Raw genomic sequence first — 22,835 nt, forward strand, 5'->3', positions numbered from 1 at the left:
GGATTTTAAACTTAATTTCTTAACTATTTTTGAAGGATGTAGAACAACGTGGCTATAAATTTTAGTTTTATAGAATAATAATGTATTATGAAGTTGTTTGACAAGCTGTCTATTCTCCTCCTTATGGAAATATATACATGGTTAAATATATACATATAAGGTGAAATATATACAAATAAGGTGTTTTTGTTTTGTTTTGTTTTGTTTGAGACGTTTTTTCACTCTTGTTGCCCAGGCTGGAGTGCAGTGATGTGATCTCGGCTCACTGCAACCTCCGCCTCCCCGGTTCAAGTGATTCTCCTGCCTCAGTCTCCTGAAGTGGCTGGGATTACAGGCGCATGCCACCACGTCCAGCTAATTTTTTTGTATTTTTAGTTGAGATGGCGTTTCACCGGTTTGGCCAGGCTGGTCTTGAACTCCTGACCTCAGGTGATCCACCTGCCTCAGCCTCCCAAAGTGCTGGGATTACAGGAGTGAGCCACCGTGCCTGGCTGGGTGTTTGTTATTTTTAAGCAATGCCTTCCTCTAAGACATTGTTTATGAAGAAGTTCCACATGAAATAAAAAATCACATCACTTCAGTTGATCATCACAAGTTATTACCTGACTCTGCAGTTTTTGATATTCTTAGGCCAGTTCTACAGAGGTTAGCCATTTCTACATGGGCATTGCAAGGATATTTGCCATCTGAAAACTTCCTTAAGTAGTTCTAAGAGATACACTTTCACACATGCATTGCAGGTTTTGAAGGTTGTTTTTTTTCCTGAAATGAATACACAAACCTATCTGGACTAAATGAAAGACAAAAATATGTGCACTATTTTTCCCCTTCTCAATCAAGAAAAATGACTGAGTACATTTAAACTTTTAATGACATCTTACCTAAGACATGGTGTAAAATTATTTAAGCAGTGATCATTTGAGAATATTTGGAAGAAAACAATGAGCCAAAGTAGAACAATAATAATTGTTCATTGTTTACTATATACCTAACTCTGATACACACTTGATGTCAGCTTTTGTTCTTCAATTCCAAATGGAATTATTTAATAAACCACATAAATAGTAAGATATTATAATTTGTTAGAGACTTAGAGATCACCTAGTCTAACTTTCTAATTTTATAGGTAAGGAAACTAAAGTGAGGAGTTAAATTATCCAAGCTCACGTGACAGTTTAAAGATATAGTCTTAACGGAATTAAATATCCAGTTTTCTTGACATTCCCCAACTGGTAATTCCATTTTAATCCTTGTTGTTGTGAAAGCATGAAAATTGCAAATACAGAGGTCTGATCCTATATCAATAATGATTAGTTATACAGCCGTGGATAAAATTTTAAGTGTTATTATGGTGTCCCATCCAATGAACTGTGAGAAGTGGAGGGACAAATTCCCATGATGCCCAAGGCTAACGGAGCTCTCTCTCTGTTATGACAGAGAGAAATTCTGGAGATGGCTGACCATAGAGTTGACACCATTGAATAATGAGTATCATATAAATTCATGCTGAGTTTCTCCTTACTGTGCTTTTAGAAGGAGGTTATTCAACTAGGATAATTATGTAATATTGCATCACTGCAGGCTGTATTTTATGTTTAAGAATCCCACATAAAGGATAGCTGATTTGCAGGATGTTCTTTCGGAATCACATTAAAAAGAAACTGTTCCAAGCCCGTATCAGTGAATTCTTTTAGTTTACTTCTTTCATTAAGCAAATGATACTGATATATATTGTGAACAAACACAGCCGGTTAACTTTCACATTGACAAGTTGGTAAGGTTAGGTTGTATAGCAATGTCCTATCTGCCGTGGTTTGTTGCTATAAGGCTGGTTAGTTTTGCCAGCTATTATAGGTCTTATATTTCCACTTTTTTCAAGAATAAATTATTTGAATAATAAAAGAGTGAATTTTCTAAATGTTGAGGCTTATTTAAAACATTATGATATTTGATGAAACACTTTAACCAGTAATATAACTTGATCCTTATTGCAGTAATTCTGCTAGGCAGTAATAGGGGTTATTGCTCCTCATTGAGTACATCCACGATTTAAAAAGTGAAATAACTTGGATTCCATAGCTGTTAAATGTGTAATTGTTAATCCATTACAGGCATTCTGACTTTTGATTCAATGCTCCTAATAACAAATACACTATACACACACATACACACACACATATACACATGATTTAGTTCTATTATGAGCTTTAATGCTGGCTGTATTTGCACATAAATAACGATATATAATTTATTTATGTGTTCATATGTATAAAACCACTATGAACATCTTTCCACATATAAAAAAGTCCTTCAAAGTAAGTGTTATGAATTGACTTAATCTAATGTACCCAATTAATTGGACACAATTTTATCTGCCAGTCAGTCCAAATACTGGAATTTTTTCAAGAATTTTCCTGAGTTATCTTTATGTTAACCTGCACAGCTCATGTTAGCCGTCAGTTCACAGTTATGCAGAGCTTTGCAATTCAGTTGTTTTCATATGGCTTTAACTCAGAAGTCAAAAACAGTCAGATGTGACCATCAGGTCCATTTCAACTTGGCTACCTTATATTTTAAATGGATTTGAATTAAAAAATGTCAACATTATACAAATCGGGAGTTTTTAAATAAAGCTTAGTCTTCTGACTTCTTTTGCCCTGTCTCTGAATGGAACCATCAGCTGAAGGTTTTGATGAGATATGTGTTCACCAGGCCATCCTCATGATACATGTGACCTTCCTGCTCCTAGTAGAACCTTCAGTTTCTGATGCTTTTTCTAAAGCTTTTATCTACATGTACCCAAGGTTTTTCAGTCTTACTTTTTTCTTCTCCTTCATCTTTGCCTTAGTTCAGGGCTTTGTCATTTGTTTCTTGAACCAGTTGGAAACTGATTTCCCTCCTTCTTATAACATTTGATAGCTTTCAAGGCCCATAACTTGATCTCCTGCTTTCAGAAGTAACTTTTATTGTAGGTACAGAGGTGATAGAGCAAAATTCTTCATTTTCCCATAAAATAAACACTTAAAATTATATTTCAAGGTAATATAATGCCATGACCATTATTTTTTAATAAAAATAATTTATTTACCCACTTTATTGAGGTATGATTGACAGGTAAAAAGCTGTACATCTTTAATGTATACAACACAGTGAGCTTGGGGATATGTGTACATGCATAAAACCATCACCATCCTGAGGCCTTAGATATATCCATAATCTCCCAGAGTTCCTTGTTACCCTTTCTGTTATTATTTGTTTGTGTGTGTGTGTTAAGAACACTTAACATAAAATCTACCTTTTCAGAAACTTGTAAGCATATTATTAACATAACATTAGCTATAGGCATTATGCTGTAGAATAGATCTTCAGAATGTATCTTGCATAAGTGACACTTTGTACCCTTTAACTGTCGCCTGCCCGTTTTTCTCTTTCCCCCAGGCCCTGGCAATCACTATTCCAGTCTCTGCTTCTATGAGTTTGACTATTTCAGATTCCACATGTAGGTAAGATCATACAGTATTTTACTGTAGTTTTAAAGTTTAGCTTATTTTACGTAGCATAATGTCCTCAGGGTCTATCCATGTTGTTGCACATGGCCGAATCTCCTTCTTTTGTGAGGCTGAGTAACATGACACCTTACATATACCATATTTTCCATTATCCACTTATGTATTAGTCTGTTTTCACACTACTGATAAAGACATACCCAAGGCTAGGAAGAAAAAGAGGTTTAATGGACTTACAGTTCCACATGGCCTTCTGCCATGGCCTCACAATCATGGCGGAAGGCAAGGAGGAGCAAGTCATATCTTACATGGATGGCAGCAGGCAAAGAGAGAGCTTGTGCAGGGAAAACTCTCATTTTTAAAAACATCAGATCTCATGAGACTCATTCACTATCACAAGAATAGCACGGGAAAGACCCGCTTCCATGATTCAATCACCTCCCACTAGGTTTCTCCCATGACATGTGGGAATTGTGGGAGATAGAATTCAAGATGAGATATGGGTGGGGACAACCAAACCGTGTCATTCTGGCCCTGGCCCCTCCCAAATCTCATGTCCTCAAATTTCAAAACCATTCTTGCCTTCCCAACAGTCCCCCAAAGTCTTAACTCATTTCAGCATTAACTCAAAAGTCCACAGTTCAATGTCTCATCTGATATAAGGCGAGTCCCTTCTGCCTATGAGCCTATAAAATCAAAAGCAAGTTAGTTAATTCCTAGATACAATGGCAGTACAGGCATTGGGTAAATACAGCCATTCCAAATGGGAGATAGTGGCCACAAAAAGGGGCTACAGGCCCCATGCAAGTCTGAAGTCCAGCAGGACAGTCAAATCTTAAAGCTCTAGAATGATCTCCTTTGACTTCATGTGTCACATCCAGGTCACACTGATGCAAGAGGTGGGATCCCATGGTCTTGGGCAGCTCCACCCTTGTAGCTTTGCAGGGTACAGCTTCCCTCCCAGCCACTTTCATGAGATGGTGTTGAGTGTCTGCGGCTTTTCCAGGCGCACAGTGCAAGCTGTTGGTGGATCCACCATTCTGGAGTCTGGAAGACGGTGGCCCTCTTCTCACAGTTCCACTAGACAGTGCCCCAGTAGGGACTCTGTGTGGGGGGCTCTGATCCCACATTTCCACTCCACACTGCCTAGCAGAGATTCTCCATGAGAGCCCCACCCCTGTAGCAAACTCTTGCCTGGACATCCAGGCATTTCTATAGATCCTCTGAAATCTAGGAGAAGTTTGCCAAACCTCAATTCTTGACTTCTATGCACTGGCAGGCTTGACACCACGTGGAAGCTGCCAAGGCTTGGGGCTTATGCTCTTTGAAGCCATAGCCTGAACTGCACTTTGGCCCCCTTTTGTCACAACTGGAGCAGCTGGGATGCAGGGCATCAAGTCCCTAGACTGCACACACAACAGGGACCCTGGGCCTGGCCCACAAAACCATTTTTAATTCCTAAGGCTCTAGGCCTGTGGTGGGAGGGGCTGCCATGAAAACCTCTGACATGCCCTGGAGACCTTTTCCCCATTGTTTGGAGTTTAACATTCAGCTCCTTGTTACTTATGGAAATTTCTGCAGCCAGAAAAGTGGCTTGAATTTCTCCTCAGAAAATGGGGTTTTCTTTTCTACCATATTGTGAGGCTGCAAATTTTCCAAACTTTTATGTTGTTTCCCTTTTAAAACTGAATGCTTTTAACAGCATCCAAGTCATGTCTTGAATGCTTTGCGGATTAGAAATTTCTCCCACCAGATACCCTAAATCATCTCTCTCAAGTTCAAAGTTCCACAAATCTCTAGGGCAGGGGCAAAATGCCACCAGTCACTTTGCTAAAACATAGCAAGTGCCACATTTGCTCCAGTTCCCAACAAGTTCCTCATCTCCATCTGAGACCACCTCAACCTGGACCTTATTGTTCATATCATTATCAGCATATTGGTCAAAGCCATTCAACAAGTCTCTAAGGAGTTCCAAACTGTCCCACATTTTCCTGTTTTCTTCTGAACCCTCTAAACTGTTCCACCCTCTGCCTGTTAACCAGTTCCAAAGTCATTTCCACATTTTTGGGTATCTTCTCAGCAGCACCCCACTCTGCTGGTACCAATTTTCTATATTAGTCTGTTTTCATGCTGCTGATAAAGACATACCTGAGACTTGAAAAAAAAAAAAGAGAGGTTTAATGGACTTACGGTTCCACATGGCTAAGGAGGCCTCACAATCATGGTGGAAAGCAAGGAGGAGCAAGTCATATCTTACATGGATGGCAGCAGGCAAAGAGAGAGCTTGTGCAGGGAAACCTCTCATTTTTAAAAACATCAGATCTCATGAGACTCATTCACTATCACAAGAATAGCATGGGAAAGACCCACCCCCATGATTCAATCACCTCCCACCAGGTTTCTCCCACAACATGTGGGAATTGTGGGAGGTACAATTCCAGATATGATTTGGGCGGGGACACAGCCAAACCATATCAATTTATTTGACCATGACATTATTAAGTTGGTAAGACATATACAGAAGGCTCAGAGTGTTCAAAAGGACAGCAGCCCCTGCTGCCTGCCCCTTGCCCACTCTCGCCTTCTCACTCTCTTCCTCTTCCCTTGAAGCTGAGCTGTGCCTGCCAGGACTCTCTTCTCACTGTCCTCTGTACTCACTGGGCCTTCAGCAAGGTTTTCCCTCTGGCTCAAAATCTTTTCCTTCTTATCTCTCTTATTATTTATATCTGTATCTGGAGCCTAGGAAAGATCAATAAAAAGATGTTTCAAGCTTTTAAATGTTTTTCTTATCAATGCATTTGTCCTGGGTGTAATATTTCAATTTACAAATGGTCTAGAAGTTTTTCTCCATCGAAATGATCTCAGGCATTGAACTAAAAGAATAAAATAGATGCTAATATGAAATAAAGGACAAAAGAGACATTACAGAAAGAAATATTTTATGGCCAACATAATAGTGTATCAAACCACTTTTAGAATAACTAAGCATTTCTGTTAAAAACATGAAAGGTCAAACAGCATATCTTATAATGCAGAAAGAAATCCATTCAATTTTAAAATTGTTCTTGCACTATCCAGTGTTACTTAGAGGACAAAATAACTGAGGTTAATAGATTTTATTATGTCACTGGCCTAAGTGGTTGATAAAAATATGAATTTAAAGGAATAGGATGTATATTTCAAGCCTGTAATGACATGTCATCAATCTCTGAAATGATTTTGATTCCAGTTTGTCCTAATTTGGTGGCAGTTTTTTTTTTAAGTTGCAATTCTACATATTTTTCCATTAAGCAAGCGACTTTCAATTTCTCCATTACTTTAACCTCACAGTCATCATCAAAAACAGTAAATCCTTATTCAGCACTGACCCCTTTAGAATCAATTGTTACAGATGAGGCTTGCCAGAGTCTGGAGGCAGGCAGAGGGGCTTGATTCTGATATATAGCTCATAGTCTGACTTTCACTCACTGGTTTCACTTCTCATTTAAACATTTGCTCATTAAAAGCTTTCAGTAATCAGTGCTTGGGGCTAACACTAACTTTTTCATCCTATTGCATTTGATTCTTTCATACTTTGTTATGTCATTCTATTTACACTTTTACTTTAATCTGTGTTCTCATTCAAAATGATGCCAACTGACTAAGTAAACAAGATTTCGAAAAAGAAGCATGTACTATTTTCAAATCTCGTAGAAACAATATAAAATTACTGATCTCAACAAATATCTCATTGGGGACTTTTAATTTAACAGAAACAATAACAATAACAACTACAACAAACTAGTAAAAAGGAATTTCTTTCAGGAACATTGAGATTCTGACAAGTTGAGAAGGCTATCTATATTGTCAACCAACTCTTGACAATTTTTGCCATTCAACTGAGTTGAGATAGATTGTAGAGAATCTTTGGTCCAGCATTCTAAAAGTGCCCTTCCCATTGCCAGGAAAGCCTGCCTCCCAGATGTTCCCCTATTCCTGTGTTACCTCTTCAGGGAGATCTCTTTTTCTTGACTAACAAATCTACAGCAGCACAACAGCTCACTCCATTCCCTTGCATTAACTTATTTTTTATCATATTGTTACATATCTATTACATGTTCATTTGTAGATTACCAACTTCACTAGACTATTAAAATTATTTTATTTTAACTGTTATTATAAAATATTTTATTTTAAAGTTATGCACAATGTGACTAAACCATTATGATGAATATCTTTTTTTTCTTTTTATTATTATTATTATACTTTAAGTTTTAGGGTACTTGTGCACAATGTGCAGGTTAACATATGCCATGCTGGTGCGCTGCATCCATTAACTGTGCCATGCTGGTGTGCTGCACCCATTAACTCGTCATTTTGCATTAGGTATATCTCCTAATGCTATCCCTCCCCCCTCCCCCCACCCCACAACAGTCCCCAGAGTGTGATGTTCCCCTTCCTGTGTCCATGTGTTCTCATTGTTCAATTCCCATCTATGAGTGAGAACATGCAGTGTTTGGTTTTTTGTCCTTGAGATAGTTTACTGAGAATGATGATTTCCAATTTCATCCATGTCCCTACAAAGGACATGAACTCATCATTTTTTATGGCTGCATAGTATTCCATGCTGTATATGTGCCACATTTTCTTAATCCAGTCTATCATTGTTGGACATTTGGGTTGGTTCCAAGTCTTTGCTATTGTGAATAGTGCCACAATAAACATATGTGTGCATGTGTCTTTATAGCAGCATGATTTATAGTCCTTTGGGTATATACCCAGTAATGGGATGGCTGGGTCAAATGGTATTTCTAGTTCTAGATCCCTGAGGAATCGCCACACTGACTTCCACAATGGTTGAACTAGTTTACAGTCCCACCAACAGTGTAAAAGTGTTCCTATTTCTCCACATCCTCTCCAGCACCTGTTGTTTCCTGACTTTTTAATGATTGCCATTCTAACTGGTGTCAGATGGTGTCTCATTGTGGTTTTGATTTGCATTTCTCTGATGGCCAGTGATGATGAGCATTTTTTCATGTGTCTGTTGGCTGCATAAATGATTTCTTTCGAGAAGTGTCTGTTCATATCCTTTGCCCACTTTTTGATGGGGTTGTTTGTTTTTTTCTTGTAAATTTGTTTGAGTTCATTGTAGATTCTGGATATTAGCCCTTTGTCAGATGAGTAGGTTGTGAAAATTTTCTCCCATTTTGTAGGTTGCCTGTTCACTCTGATGGTAGTTTATTTTGCTGTGCAGAAGCTCTTTAGTTTAATTAGATCCCATTTGTCAATTTTGTCTTTTGTTGCCATTGCTTTTGGTGTTTTAGACATGAAGTCCTTGCCCATGCCTATGTCCTCAATGGTAATGCCTAGGTTTTCTTCTAGGGTTTTTATGGTTTTAGGTCTAACGTTTAAGTCTTTAATCCATCTTGAATTAATTTTTGTATAAGGTGTAAGGAAGGGATCCAGTTTCAGCTTTCTACATATGGCTAGCCAGTTTTCCCAGCACCATTTATTAAATAGGGAATCCTTTCCCCATTGCTTGTTTTTCTCAGGTTTGTCAAAGATCAGATAGTTGTAGATATGTGGCGTTATTTCTGAGGGCTCTATTCTGTTCCATTGATCTATATCTCTGTTTTGGTACCAGTACCATGCTGTTTTGGTTACTGTAGCCTTGTAGTATAGTTTGAAGTCAGGTGGCGTGATGCCTCTGGCTTTGTTCTTTTGGCTGAGGATTGACTTGGCGATGCAGGCTCTTTTTTGGTTCCATATGAACTTTAAAGTAGTTTTTTCCAATTCTGTGAAGAAAGTCATTGGTAGCTTGATGGGGATGGCATTGAATCTATAAATTACCTTGGGCAGTATGGCCATTTTCACGATATTGATTCTTCCTACCCATGAGCATGGAATGTTCTTCCATTTGTTTGTATCGTCTTTTATTTCATTGAGCAGTGGTTTGTAGTTCTCCCTGAAGAGGTCAAATTGTACCTGTTTGCAGACGACATGATTGTATATCTAGAAAACCCCATTGTCTCAGCCCAAAATCTCCTTAAGCTGATAAGCAACGTCAGCAAAGTCTCAGGATACAAAATCAATGTACAAAAATCACAAGCATTCTTATACACCAATAACAGACAAACAGAGAGCCAAATCATGAGTGAACTCCCATTCACAATTGCTTCAAAGAGAATAAAATACTTAGGAATCCAACTTACAAGGGACGTGAAGGACCTCTTCAAGGAGAACTATGATGAATATCTAATCTACCACCATTCTTAAAGTTCCCATGCACATTTGTACAAGTATATACTGTTTAGTCCATCAAATACATTTGCACAAGGAACCAGTTATAAAAAGCTAACAATAAAACCTAGATAAGCCAAGCAGCCAGTTAAAAAAAATCACCCTTTATCTAACGTCAGTGTTCTATGTATTTCAATGTAAAGAAATTTAGTTTTTTTCCCCTCTCTTTTAATGTCAAAAAGGTGAAGCCATGAGATCAGCAGGATGTAGGTAAGTGAGTAAAGCAGGAGGCGGTCAGTTTACATTAACATAAAATGACTCTGAATGTTTTTTACCCTTTGTCTTTAGCATGTAGATCTATAATATACTTGTCATATAGAATGCCTAAAGTTGATCTGTAGATGCCACTGAGAAAGACACTTGAAAAAAATCTTCCTAATCCACATAACAAGAATAACATTTTATTCACACTTAAAAGCATGCACATCTTCTTTCAGCAAAAGTATCAGTTATGATGGAAATGCTAATTCACTTGTTTAAAAGTATTAAGAAGTAGCTCTCAAAAAGTTTGCTTCTTAACCAAACTCGAGTGAGCCCTTGCTGTATGCTATTTATTCTGCCACCTTCAGAAACATCGAAGGTCACCCAAAGGCAGTGGATGCATCAAGGATTGAATAGGCCAGTAGGAGAGGAGAGATTATTACTTTGTTTATTCACACATTTATGCATTTATATATACCTCGTCTTGCACCAGATATGACTTAGGTAATCTATAAAACCTCATACAGTATAAAATAATATAAGCTAGAAGTAGGTAAGAAAGTTATGGTGAAGGATAATCAAGGATAGAGCAATAAAATATGGCTAGATATAGGTTATTGGATAAAATGCAGGCTATGGAACAGTATATACATGCTGAGGGATATACTATATATGAACTGAGATAATTCAGTGTGTGATTAAATGTAACACTAGAGGTATGCACATGGTACAATTTTAACAGATAAGAGAGTGAATAATTAAATATTTCTCAAAACATTTAAAGTTAGAGAGATAAAGTGATATTTTTTCTTGAATTTCTGAGTAAGAAAAATACTTGTTCAGACAGGATGAGGGAAGGATTACAGTACTCGAGGCAAAGAGAAAAACGTGGCATGTGCAAAATTATGGAAGCATATATAATTAATATAGCATGGATATTTGCAAAATTAAAAAGATAAACGTGATGGAAGAAGCAAGTGATGGGGGTAAAATGGCAGCTGGCCTTTGGCCAGCTCTTGTGCTGCATTCACCTGATGTTAGAAAAGTCGATGATGCACATCAGTGAGTATGTCTTCGTATGTTGTGTTTTAGGGAAGGAATGTGAATTATTCCACTTTCAAATATGCCGCCATGTTTACTGCTGACTGTAGCAGCGAGCTGATGGCCCAACTCACCCATGGAGAATCTGAAGCCTTTCCCTGAGCACAGCAGCATTCAATTATTACATCTGTATCCCAAAGTGATCCTCCAAATCTTTTAGAGCTGAAATGATGGGGAGAAGGGTCATTAGGGAATTTGCAGAATCCTAATTCTCCCATGATTGTCTATAAGATTTTTTCCAGTAGTATTACTTCAAAATATGTTGCTGTGTTAGATAATCCTGCCACCGTATATTTTTGTGTGTGAAGAAAAAATGACTTGCTTCAAAGGAGAGAAGGTAATAATTTTAAGTGACAGAGATTTGATACAACACAATGTCTTTATTTTTTGTTGCCTGCATTTCATATCCTTTCTTTTTTTCAACCAAATCTCTATCCTCATGGAATCTTTTCCCCATACAGGCACTAATACATAAATAAGCCAAGTATTTTCCAAGACTTTGGTCTCTTAGTCCAGATTTTATTTTATAGGTAGAAAAACAGAGCAACCCTCTAAGCACTTCTCTGATTGTATCACTAGCCCATTCACATAGCTCACTTTTGCTCCTGGGGTAAGTTCCAACTGATTAGGTGGCCTTTGCTATCTGGGACATACACAAATCATTTTCTTATGTTATTCAACTTTATACTCACCAGGCTCATGACAACTTTTTCTTACAGACATAATCTTTTCTCTCTATTTTTCCCTCTGCCGTACCTCTGAAATGCACATACCCCTGTCTACTTAAGGAAATCTGGAATATTCTTTGAGGCCTGGTTCCAGTGTATCTTCCTTTAAGATATATTCTAATTGCCCTCAATTGAAACAAACTCCCATTCTTTTGACTCCAATAGAAATTTCTCTCTCTCATCTTATTTGTGGTCTTTCTTTTAGAGTAGGTGGAGTTTTTTATAGGTAGAAAAATGATTTGTGGCCAGGTGCAGTGGCTCACACCTGTAATCCCAGCACTTTGGGAGGCCAAGGTGGGTGGATCACTTGAGGTCAGGAGTTCGAGACCAGCGTGGCCAACATGGCGAAACCACATCTCTACTAAAAAAAAAAAAAAAAAAATACAAAAATTAGCTGAACCTGGTGGCACACACCTGTAATCCCAGCTGCTTGGGAGGCTGAGGCAGGAGAATTGCTTGAACCCGGGAGTTAGAGGTTACAGTGTGCTGAGATCATGCCATTGCACTCCAGCCTAGGTGACAGAGTGAGACTCCGTCTCAAAAAAAAAAAAAATCACCCCCTCCCCAAACTTCATCTCCAGTGCTTGGCCAAGTGCCCTGTGTGTAATAATGTGTTTTTCATTAAAGTAAAAAAGGATACTAATCCATAAAATAAAAGCAAATAGCATCTTTGAAAACAGCTGCTTTGATGACAAGTAACATGGAAGATTTGCACTGCATTGCACTAGGGAGATCATTAGGAAGATACTGAAGATCTAGCTAAATGACAATTCAGAGAAATTAACCACCTACATGGGGCTGTAATGGATTTCATTTCCTGCTGCTGGCCACATGGAAAGAAAATGCCTCACACATAAAGCAGGCAGCTTGTTGAAATGCTGAAAAAACTGTCATTAAGGACCTGGGCTGAGGCCACATAAGGAATTGAGATCAATTATATTCTCTGTAGTTGATGACATCATTTGTCTTTGTTGTTCACAAAAGCAAAAACAAATTTAATCATTCTATTCGTAGTTTGTATATTACTTTTTGTAAGCTACAGAACATTTCAACATCCATTATTTGATTTGTTTATATCAACAAATCAGTGAATAAGAAGAGGCTGGGTTATTTGTTCCAATTATAGGTGGGGAGGCAAAGTCTTAGTTTAGAAAAGTAAACTCCTGAATGTCACAAACTTATTGAGTTACAAAACCAAGTCTAGAATGTAGAACATTAACTTCTAGGAGAGTGTTTCTCATTTTTAACAAAAGAACTTAATCGCTGATTTTGAAAAAATGAAACAAAACAAAAGCACCACTGGGGATGAATTCTAGAAGATTAGAAACCTCTTGCATTCTAATACAGAGTGTTTGTTTGTTTGTTTGTTTTCTTGCCTGGATTGGAGTATATTGTGGTACCATATTGTACCAATTTAGGTAGGCTAAAAGTGTGTTTTCCAGAATTGCCTCCCATGCATAATTCTTAGTTAATGTAGCTCATCTGAAACCTCATTTGACTTATCTGACTTCCAAGGAGGCACATTTTTAGCTCCTTGTTGAAAGGCATCAGCATGTCTTGCAGAACACTTGCAGCATCAAAGTTGGAGGCTTAGAGATGGTAAAGACTGATGTGGGTTCCTCTCTGTCCTCAGGGGTTCCACCTTGTGTTTGTGGGTTCCAGTTTGTCTTAGCTTTTACCAACTTCATACCCATCTTCCCTTTTATGCTTACTGGTCTGTAGAATTCAGGTTGTATATACCAGCTTCACAGAGACTAAATAAACAGCTCACACAATGGCATTAGGTCAAACATCTATACTAAATACCCTATTTGATATATATGTAAATACAAACACGTATGTATTTAATATAATACATATAGAAAATATAATACAAAATCATGGGGAAAATGTTTCTGTAATAATCTAGGGAGATCCCATGGAATGCCTCCCAGTACTCACATATCCCAAGATTAAAGTCAATTAAAAAAAATTACAATGGCCTGAAGTAAGCAGACCTGATAATGGTCCAGATCCTTGAAGAATGATGATGTGGGACATCCTACACAGCAAGAAACCATAAACAGCTGAGGTATTTGCTGAGGGTAAAGGGGTTATAGAATGACTGGTGGAAAAAGGTAGTTATAAATCCTAATTAAGTTGATATGACCAGTTGTAGAAATGAACACTGCATTGGTCATGCAAAACTTTCCTTACTTTGATATGAATAGATTTGTGTATATAGTAGCAATTTTTTATCCTCACTTCTCCCATTTCCTTACTGTCTACAATACAGTGTATTAATAGCAGTCAGTTTCATATTTTAGTACTTACATTTCAGAATATCAAAAGGGGAATGTGACTCAACTAGAAGAGAAATGAACATCAGTCCAAAATAGTTGAAGAAAATTTGTATACTCTTTTGGGGAGAGGGCTAGCATGTTTTTGGTTTTGTGAGGGATAGTTGCATTATGTTAGGTGAAAGTGTGGGTTTGCTACTGTCTTTATTTAGAAGTTCAGTATGGCTAAAAGACGTGTAATTGGAAGCTAGCTTAAAAAGGGGTGGACTGTGATGGGTTTCTATTCTCTCAATAGCAAATCTGGGGCTACGTTTCTAAGAATTCCCTTCACTGAAGAGTTCCAAGTTACTGGAAGAAACTTGGAACAAAAGGAGTTCTGCATGAATTTTGAAAGGTCTACTGACTCAACAGGCAGTCAGATATGTAAGATGGGTATAAAGCGGTGAGAGTGAGGACAAACCCATAATCAATGTCTGGATCCCTGATGAACTGAGACTCACATTGATCTTTCAATATGTCCAAGCCTCCAACTGGAATGATTTGGTTATCCTGCAGGAAATGCTGGAGTCCTTCATCCGAATGGTAAATGGCACTTGTGACAAAAATCAAAGTAACTAAAAAAGAATCTGGTTGAAACCTCAGTAACAGTTGGCCTGTCTACTGCCTCACACTAACAAGGTAAGTCAGCTACCAGTGACAATGTGAGCAAGTTGCAACAGTGCCTAGGACCCCTGTATAACCACCCCACCCCCACCGCCGGATGTAACAAGCATATTATTGTTGCTTCATTTCCCTTTCTGAACTCAGCCTCAGTACCAGACACAAGGACAGCAGCCTTACATGTGTTTTTAATCAGCTCCCACAATTGTATACCATCAAATATTTACAGTCAATCAAAGAGTGAGTGTTGGTGTGTGACTCCTAGTGCTGCAGTTTCTTCTCTTGAATACTCATTGATTCATAATTCAAAAACCATTAGACTCCATAGGAGCAGGATTTGATGCCCTAATGGGAAACAAACTTTGCTTTCAAGCTGTGCTACTAATGATGATCATAACAATAGCTAAAATTTACTGTGCTCTTACCATGTGACAGAAACTGTTCTAAATGTTCTATGTTAACTCTTTTTTTAAAAAAAATAGGCTTGGAGGTAGGTACTATTACTATCCTCATTTTTATTTTACAAGTCAGGCAACTGACGTGCATGGAATTTAAGTCACCTCTCCAAGGTCACATAGTTGATGTAGGGAATCCACATCAATTACCAGCTATGACTTAAAGCCAGGGAGTCTGGCACCTTGAGAGCGTGTTCTAACCATTGTGTTTTTCTACTCCCAGACCAATTCTCTAAATGAAGTTCATCCTGAACAATCTGATCTCAGATTTACTCCTATGTCAGCTAATCCTCTGGAGGAAGCGGAAATGAGATAATGGGAATATCTGTGTAGTTATCTGTGGCTTAGGAATTGTTAATTGGTAAATTGATGTTAAAAGGAAAGAGAAAGAATTAAAAGAAGAGAAAATGGGAATATTTTTTGCACCTTGAACATGCAGCCATCAGAGAATGAATAAGCCAGTTTGATAAGTCTCAGTGAAAGTCAAAAACATTTTCTGCAGTGTGCAAAATATTTTATCAAGCAACACCTTGGCTTACTGTGCTAGACATCTGGCAAAGAGGATGTGTTCTAACTTTTTTTGTCCTTCATAGTGTCAGGAATTTAGAATCATAACTTTTTATTCCATATTTAGTACATCAAAATAACCGCATTCTATATTTAAACATATCAAATTGTTCTGTTTTTATATAATTTAATTTAAGAGAACCATAACTTAATTTTAAGTTCTGTGATCAAATTAACAAGATTCTTTTTATCTAATGTCTTCGATTTTATTAAGGTAAAAGTTATATAACAAAAAATTAACTGTTTTAAAGTTAACAGTTCAGTGGCATCTAGTACACTCACAATATTGTCCAACAACCACCTCTATCTAGTTCTAATATGTTTTTATTACCCCAGAAGGAAATGAAACAGAGTAACTGCTTATCATCTTTGAATTTTAAAGAACATACGTATAATTTTGAGACAAGGTCTCACTCCATTGCCCAGGCTAGAGTGCAGTGGTATGATCATGGCTTACTGCAGCCTCAACCTTCTGGGCTCAGGTGATCATCTCACCTCAGCCTCCCAAGCAGCCAGGACTATGGGCGTGCACCACCATGCCTGGCTCTTTTTTTTTTTTTAAGAGATGGGGTTTCACCATGTTGCCCAGGCTGGTCTCAAACTCCTGTGCTCAAGAGATCCTCCTGCCTCAGCCTCCCAAAGTGCTAGGATTTATAGGCATGAGCCAATGTGCCTGGCCTAAAATAATTTTTATGTGGAAAATTCTAGTTGTCTTTTAAAGTCTACCAAAAATCTCCTATTCTGCATTTATTTTTTTGTCTTTAACTTACTGATACTTGTATATTCCGCTCATCACTGACATTTTTTTCACTTTGTTGTGTATTTATCTATATAATTTATATATATATTATGGATAGCTATTACTAAATTTATGTATTAACATTTTATATATTTTAATTGTACTTTAAAGTTTATATATTGATATTTTAGTATTTCATACATTTAATTTTAAGATAGTCAAATCTGATTATCTTTTTCTTTAAGTTTTGTACTTTCCAATCCCTGTTTTTAAATTTATTTTGCTATACTAAGGTAATACAAAATGTTTTCCTCTAAAATTTTAAGGCTTTATTTTTCAAGATTTTACTTTGAAATTTATGTTGTATACAGTGTAGAAGAGCAAATATTATTTGTTTTTTCTTAGGGGGAGTCAGTTGATTCAGAATCAGTATTTGATTAGAAAACTCTTTTCTGACTTGTTATTCTACCTCTTTCATTTATCAATTGCAATCTACATGTTGTTTTAGAAAGATCCATAAATTATCTACTTCATCCCCTTTATTTTACAGGGGGAGCTAATAAAACCGAGGTTAGAACACACAATGTGGAAATGAAAACCTTATTCTTGTCAATGGATGGAGGGTGGGTAAGTGCCTGGGTAATAGCCTGATTCTTCCTATCATATCTGCTCCTATTGTGGCAGACAAGAGAGCTTGTCCAGGGGAACTTCCATTGATAAAACCATCAGATCTTGTGAGACTTATTCACTACCAGGAAAACATTATGGGGAAAACCGCCCCCATGATTCAGTTATCTCCACCTGGTCCTGCCCTTGACATGTGGGGATTATTACAATTCAAGGTGAGATTTGGGTGGGGACACAGCCAAACCATATCACTTGGATTAGCATTTTAGGTATCTTAGCTCTAGTCCTACTCTCTTTAATCACTATGCTATAGAGCTACTCTATCAATTTAAAAACAAATGTTATTCCTAAAACTGATATGTTAATTGTGTTTCATTTAAAGGTAGGAATAGATAAAAATTTCTTAATATTCTTAATACCAGAGCTTCTGTTAGCATCATTTCATCTTCTTAAAAGTCTGAAAGGAAAAGATAAAGAAATAAGAGATACTAGGATTAGAAAAGAAGAAAACCTTTGCCACAGTTCATTTAGAGAGAAAGGATAGTGGAGTGGTTAAACAAATAACAGCATAGAACCATACCCCTCAGTTTCAAACCTGACATTTTTCATTTCTGGCTGGGTGAATTTGAGCCAGTTGAGGGACTTTTCCAGGTTTAAGTCAATGAAATGTGGTATTAATTATTCTTAACTTTTAGGGCTTTATGAAAATTAAATGATGCTTCTGCTCAGTAAACAGGAAATAATTTCCTTTAGATTAAGTAAAAGATAAAAATTTAACAATAATGTATGTAATTGGGAATAAACCCAAACAGATACTCATACCAAATACCAAGAATATGGGTTTTATATCCTGGATCATTCTTTAGAATGAACATTTTTTGACATGATACTTGACTATTTAATTATCTGTCTTTGTGATATGATTATTCATATCCTTAACTAAAACATCTTTAAGATTTAAAAACAATCTCAAAGCAAATGGGTAAGGTTCATATCAGAGGATAAATAAGTGGTGTTATGGTTTGAATGTGTCCCCCAAAGTTTATGTGCTAGAAGCTTGATTCCCCAATGCAGCATTGTTGGGAGATGGGACATTTAAGTGGTGATAAGGCTATGAAGGCTTTTGTGTATTAGTCTGTTTTCACACTGTTATAAAGAAATACCCAAGACTGGGTAATTTATAAAGGAAAGAGGTTTAATTGACTCACAGCTCCACATGGCTGGGGAGGCCTCAGGAAACTTACAATCATGGAGGAAGGGGAAGCAGGAACATTGTTAGGAAAGAGAGAAGAGTGTGTGTAAGAGGAACTGTCAAACACTTACAAAACCATCAAGAACTTTCAAACACTTATAAAACCATCAAGAGAAGATAGTGAGAACTCACTCACCATCATGAGAACAGCATGGGGAAAACTGCCCCCATGATCCAATCACCTCCCACTGGGTCCCTCCCTTAACACATGGGGATTATGGGTATTACAATTCAAGATGAGATTTGGGTGGGGACACAGCCAAACCATATCAGCTCTGCCCTTATGAATGGATTGTCATTATCATGAGAATGGAATTCTTATCTTGGTATTGGGTTTTTCATAAAAAGACAGATTTGGCACCCTTTTGTCTCTCTCTCTCTCTCTCTCTCTTTCATTCTTGCCCTTTCTTTGCTCTTCTGCCATGGGATGATGCAGCAAGAAGACCCTCACCAGATTCCAGCCCCTCGATCTTTGATTTTCCAGCCTCCAAAAACATGAGCCAGTAAATTTCTGTTTGTTTGTTATAAATTACCCAGTCTGTGGTGTTCTGTTATAGCAGCACAAAATGGAGACAAATGGTCAGGTAACACTGAAAGATGCTCATGCTTCCTAGGAAATAGGATCATTTATATTTTATAAAATAATACATCAACAATATGATACAAAAATTAAACACCTGGCAATAATATGTACAGTTAGAATGAAACCACTAATGATTATTCTTTGATGGAGCAGATAATAGTAAATACAATTAGATCAATTTGATAATATCCAGTAAATTTAAAGATGTGAAAACAATTTTCAGAGAAACATGCATGTGATTAAAAAGACATAAACAGAAGAGAACATTGCTATATTATGATAGAAGAAAATCTGAATGTTCATTAAGTGAATAGATGAATAAATTATAATATACCCATAATGCGATATACTACAGGGTACTTCAAATGAATCAACTATATTTACACATATCAACAAAGATAAATATTAAAGAATGTAAGATCATGGCAAAAAGCAAGTTGCAGAAAACTACGTATAGGATGTAGCACTTATGTAAAGTCTAAATCATACAAAATAATAATGTTCCAACTCAATAAAGGCAAATATAGGACGTAAATATATGCAACCATGAATGGTATTGAAAAATGCAAAATTAAGCATATTTAGTATCTTTTCTGATGGGTCATGGAATGCAAGATGAGCATGAGAGGCTTCAACCCCACCTATTTATTATTTATCACTTAAAAATTATTTTTTGATAACAAAATGATAAAGTGGCTGAATTTCAAGAGAGACAGTGTCTACATAGGTGTTTGTTGTAATATTCCTTCTACAATTAAAATTCACTGGGATCAAACATCCCCAGGTCTCTAGCCAGAACCAATAATTACTACGTTTTGAGTCATTTTTTAGTCTTTCTTCTGCAGGTAATTCTGATTTTCATTAAAAATAAGGAAGGCATGTTTTGTGCTTAAGCTGAGACAGGTTTAAGTGACATTATTTTTCAATCCAATTAGGTGCCCTGATTCCATTTATTCAGAAGGAGATTTATATCTATATATGCCACTTGCAAATATGACTGCCATTTTCTAATTAAGAAGAAATTTTATCTTGACTAGATCTATTTCACCTATAGATGAATGCTTGATTTAACATTTACATAATTAATTGGGTGTGTCTGCTTGCTACTACATTCTCATGAAACTTTGCAGCTTCTCAACTACATCCAAACCTATTACCTTTTAAGAACCTAAGTATTTTCCCAGTATAAACAGTTTTCCATCGTATGAGCTTTAAATAATATTTTAACATAAAATATACAGTTTACACAGGGATATCTAAAGTGATGTCTATACAAATCCTAATGTGAATGTTTTTGTAAAGTGAAATATCTTCTTGTCGTGGGAATTAATCTTTGTAAATATAAATTATCTCTTTATTATCTTTCTAAAACTTTTCAATTCCTTAAATTCAGGTGAATGTTAACTCATTTTGTCAGCAGAATATTTTTCAAAGTTATTTATTATCTATAAAATATATTTGCTTAAGGTTTAGCATTTTGGGGAAATTATATAACAGCTATCAAATGAGGGTCTTCTGTAAGTGCTTATAAAATCAATAATCTAATGATATAAATAGATCTATAAAGAGATGATAAAATTAAAGAACAATTACTAACATTCTAACTAGTCTAACATTTTATGCCAATCAAGAACATATACCTGTTTAAGATATTCAGAGTATACTTTATGCTTTATTATTAAACAGTATAAATAATATTTCAGAATTTTTTAGAATACCAAGTATATTGTACATGAACATGGCATCAAATTTAGTGTCATGGGAAAGAATCTTTAGCTATAATTATGTAGTACTGGTGCAATACGTAATTTGTTTTAGCGTGACAGACCCCCAGGTCTTCAGTAAGCTCCAAACTGCCAGGGAAAACAGATGAGTAAGAAACTGGACAGAGAAGCGCAATTTTTAAAATGAAGAACTTGATCTAAATATTTTAGAGTGTTTCCCATTTAAAAAAAAACAGAAATTGATTATATATATATATATATATATATATATATATATATATATAATTGTGTCAGTTCTCCAGATTGTTTCACATGGAATTTACATCTTTGCAACCCTGAAACCCTGTTTCAGTCCTGTCTTTTTCACTGAGTGTTCCAAAATCTCTTTCCCATAGTTGCTGCATAATTTCTTAAATTGCTTAGAAGCTTTCAAGGGGAAAGGAGCTAAGTGAGTAGATTAACGAGGGGCTGTTTGTGAAATTCTTAAGAGTTCGTCAATGGCAGGTGTGATAAATTACAACATTGTTATGATGATGATCGTGTAGCAAACCATTATTAGTGCTTAAGGTGGACTATCTCATTACACAAACACCACTTGAATTTGAACATACGTCAGCAGAAAATGTAAACGGTTCACACAATTCCAACCAAACAGGCATTTCTCTAGTTGAAATTAGGCTTGGAAGTATTGGCCATGTTTACTATCAAATGGTTCAGTTACATTTTACTAATGTACAGGAAAACCTAAACTCATGTACATCGAAAATTAACTCTTAAACATTTCTTTGCGTAATTATCTATTTTTCTTGAAATTTTTGTATGTGACACGTTCCTTAAATAAAACCTCTGCTAAAATAACATAATTCAATGAGTTTAAGAGCAGATAAATGACACAGTAAGATATTCAGAAGTTTTATAAAAAATAAATCATGTGAATAAACAATTGTGTTTGGTATAAATGGAATATTGTCAGTGTCCTTTTATGAATTAAAATGGCTTTATTCCAGCCTGGGCAACATGGCAAAACTCTGTCCCTACAAATAATATAAAAATTAGCTGGGCGTGGTGGCACACATTTGTAGTCCCAGCTGAGGTGGGAGAATCACCTGAGCCTGGGAAATCAAGGCTGCAGTGAGCCGTGATTGTGCCACTGCACTCCAGGCTGGGCGACAGAGTAAGACCCTGTCTCAAAAAATTAAATTAAATGGCTTAATAGCCTGGTTCTAAAAACCAATGTGTACCAAATAGAGAAATTCCAGTTTTTAGCTTCATTCATTTAATCATTGTTAAAAATATCACCGATTATTCTTCACGATTTAAAAAATAAATTCTACACAACGTAGACTAATTGAATGTAAATTCAGTGACATAAACTCCGTGCTCATTTATACCCAAATCTGTTATTCTTCTACTCTGTATCCCAGCTATGAACACTTTCTATCATCTCCAATGCTCCGGCCCAAGATTTCAATTGTTTCTTATCTGGAATTGTTAAAGTTGTTTAACTGATGTCCTTGCTTCAATCCCTGAACTCCTACTTTCATCATCTAGAGACATCAGTGTAAACTTTTTAAAATGTAAATTGGATCTGTTACTCTCAATTAAAACACTCCAATGAATTCCCATTGTAAATGGAATATTTTCTTCATGACCTCCAAAGCAAGCCTGATCTTGTTTCTGCCGTCGTTTCCAGCTCCTCTTTCATTGTTTCTCTCATCTTCTCTGGCTTCAGACACACTGGACTTTATTCTATCCATTGAAAATTCCAGGCTTGGTTTAGTTTCAGAATCTTCTCCCTTATTGTTAACTTTGTCTGGGATAGTCTCTTCCCTATTTTAAGTATGGCTTGTCTCCTTATTTATTTCTCAAGTCAGATGTATCATCTTCTTAGCCAGACAGTACCTTGCTAAGATTCATTGTTGTGCTAGATTATAATTAATTTAGATGTGCTTAGGGTCATTGCAGTTCCAAAATAAAAGATGCCATGAGTTTTAGCTGTATTCTAAGATAATGGAATTTATTCTCTATATATCCAAATCTTAGTAAATTAACACCATGAAATACCCAGAATAACCACGTATCTCTAAAACCATATGAAAATAAGTGATGTGCTAACGACATTAACAAGTAAGAG

At 36.4% G+C, this 22,835-nt stretch overlaps 1 long non-coding RNA gene across 1 annotated transcript in view, besides 1 other annotated feature; it reads left to right on the forward strand.

Annotated features, from left to right (window-relative positions):
- PYDC2-AS1 (PYDC2 antisense RNA 1) overlaps positions 1–22,835 on the forward strand; it is a 164,833-nt gene that overhangs the window by 117,089 nt on the left and 24,909 nt on the right. Inside the window, exons 2-4 of the long non-coding RNA NR_120606.1 lie at positions 3,439–3,499; positions 14,650–14,772; positions 17,066–17,142. This is a non-coding gene — a long non-coding RNA (PYDC2 antisense RNA 1). The remainder of the gene's footprint in view (positions 1–3,438; positions 3,500–14,649; positions 14,773–17,065; positions 17,143–22,835) is intronic.
- Positions 19,658–19,827: an enhancer, noted in NCBI's record as "experimental_67229 CRE fragment used in MPRA reporter constructs". NCBI's record gives its function as "activates a minimal promoter by MPRAs in K562 erythroleukemia cells, with activity observed for the introgressed 3:191280144 variant allele {active_cell/tissue: K562}" and the evidence as "EXISTENCE:reporter gene assay evidence [ECO:0000049][PMID:34662402]".

Source organism: Homo sapiens, chromosome 3 (assembly GCF_000001405.40).
Source record: "Homo sapiens chromosome 3, GRCh38.p14 Primary Assembly".
In the NCBI taxonomy this organism is placed as follows: Eukaryota; Metazoa; Chordata; class Mammalia; order Primates; family Hominidae; genus Homo; species Homo sapiens.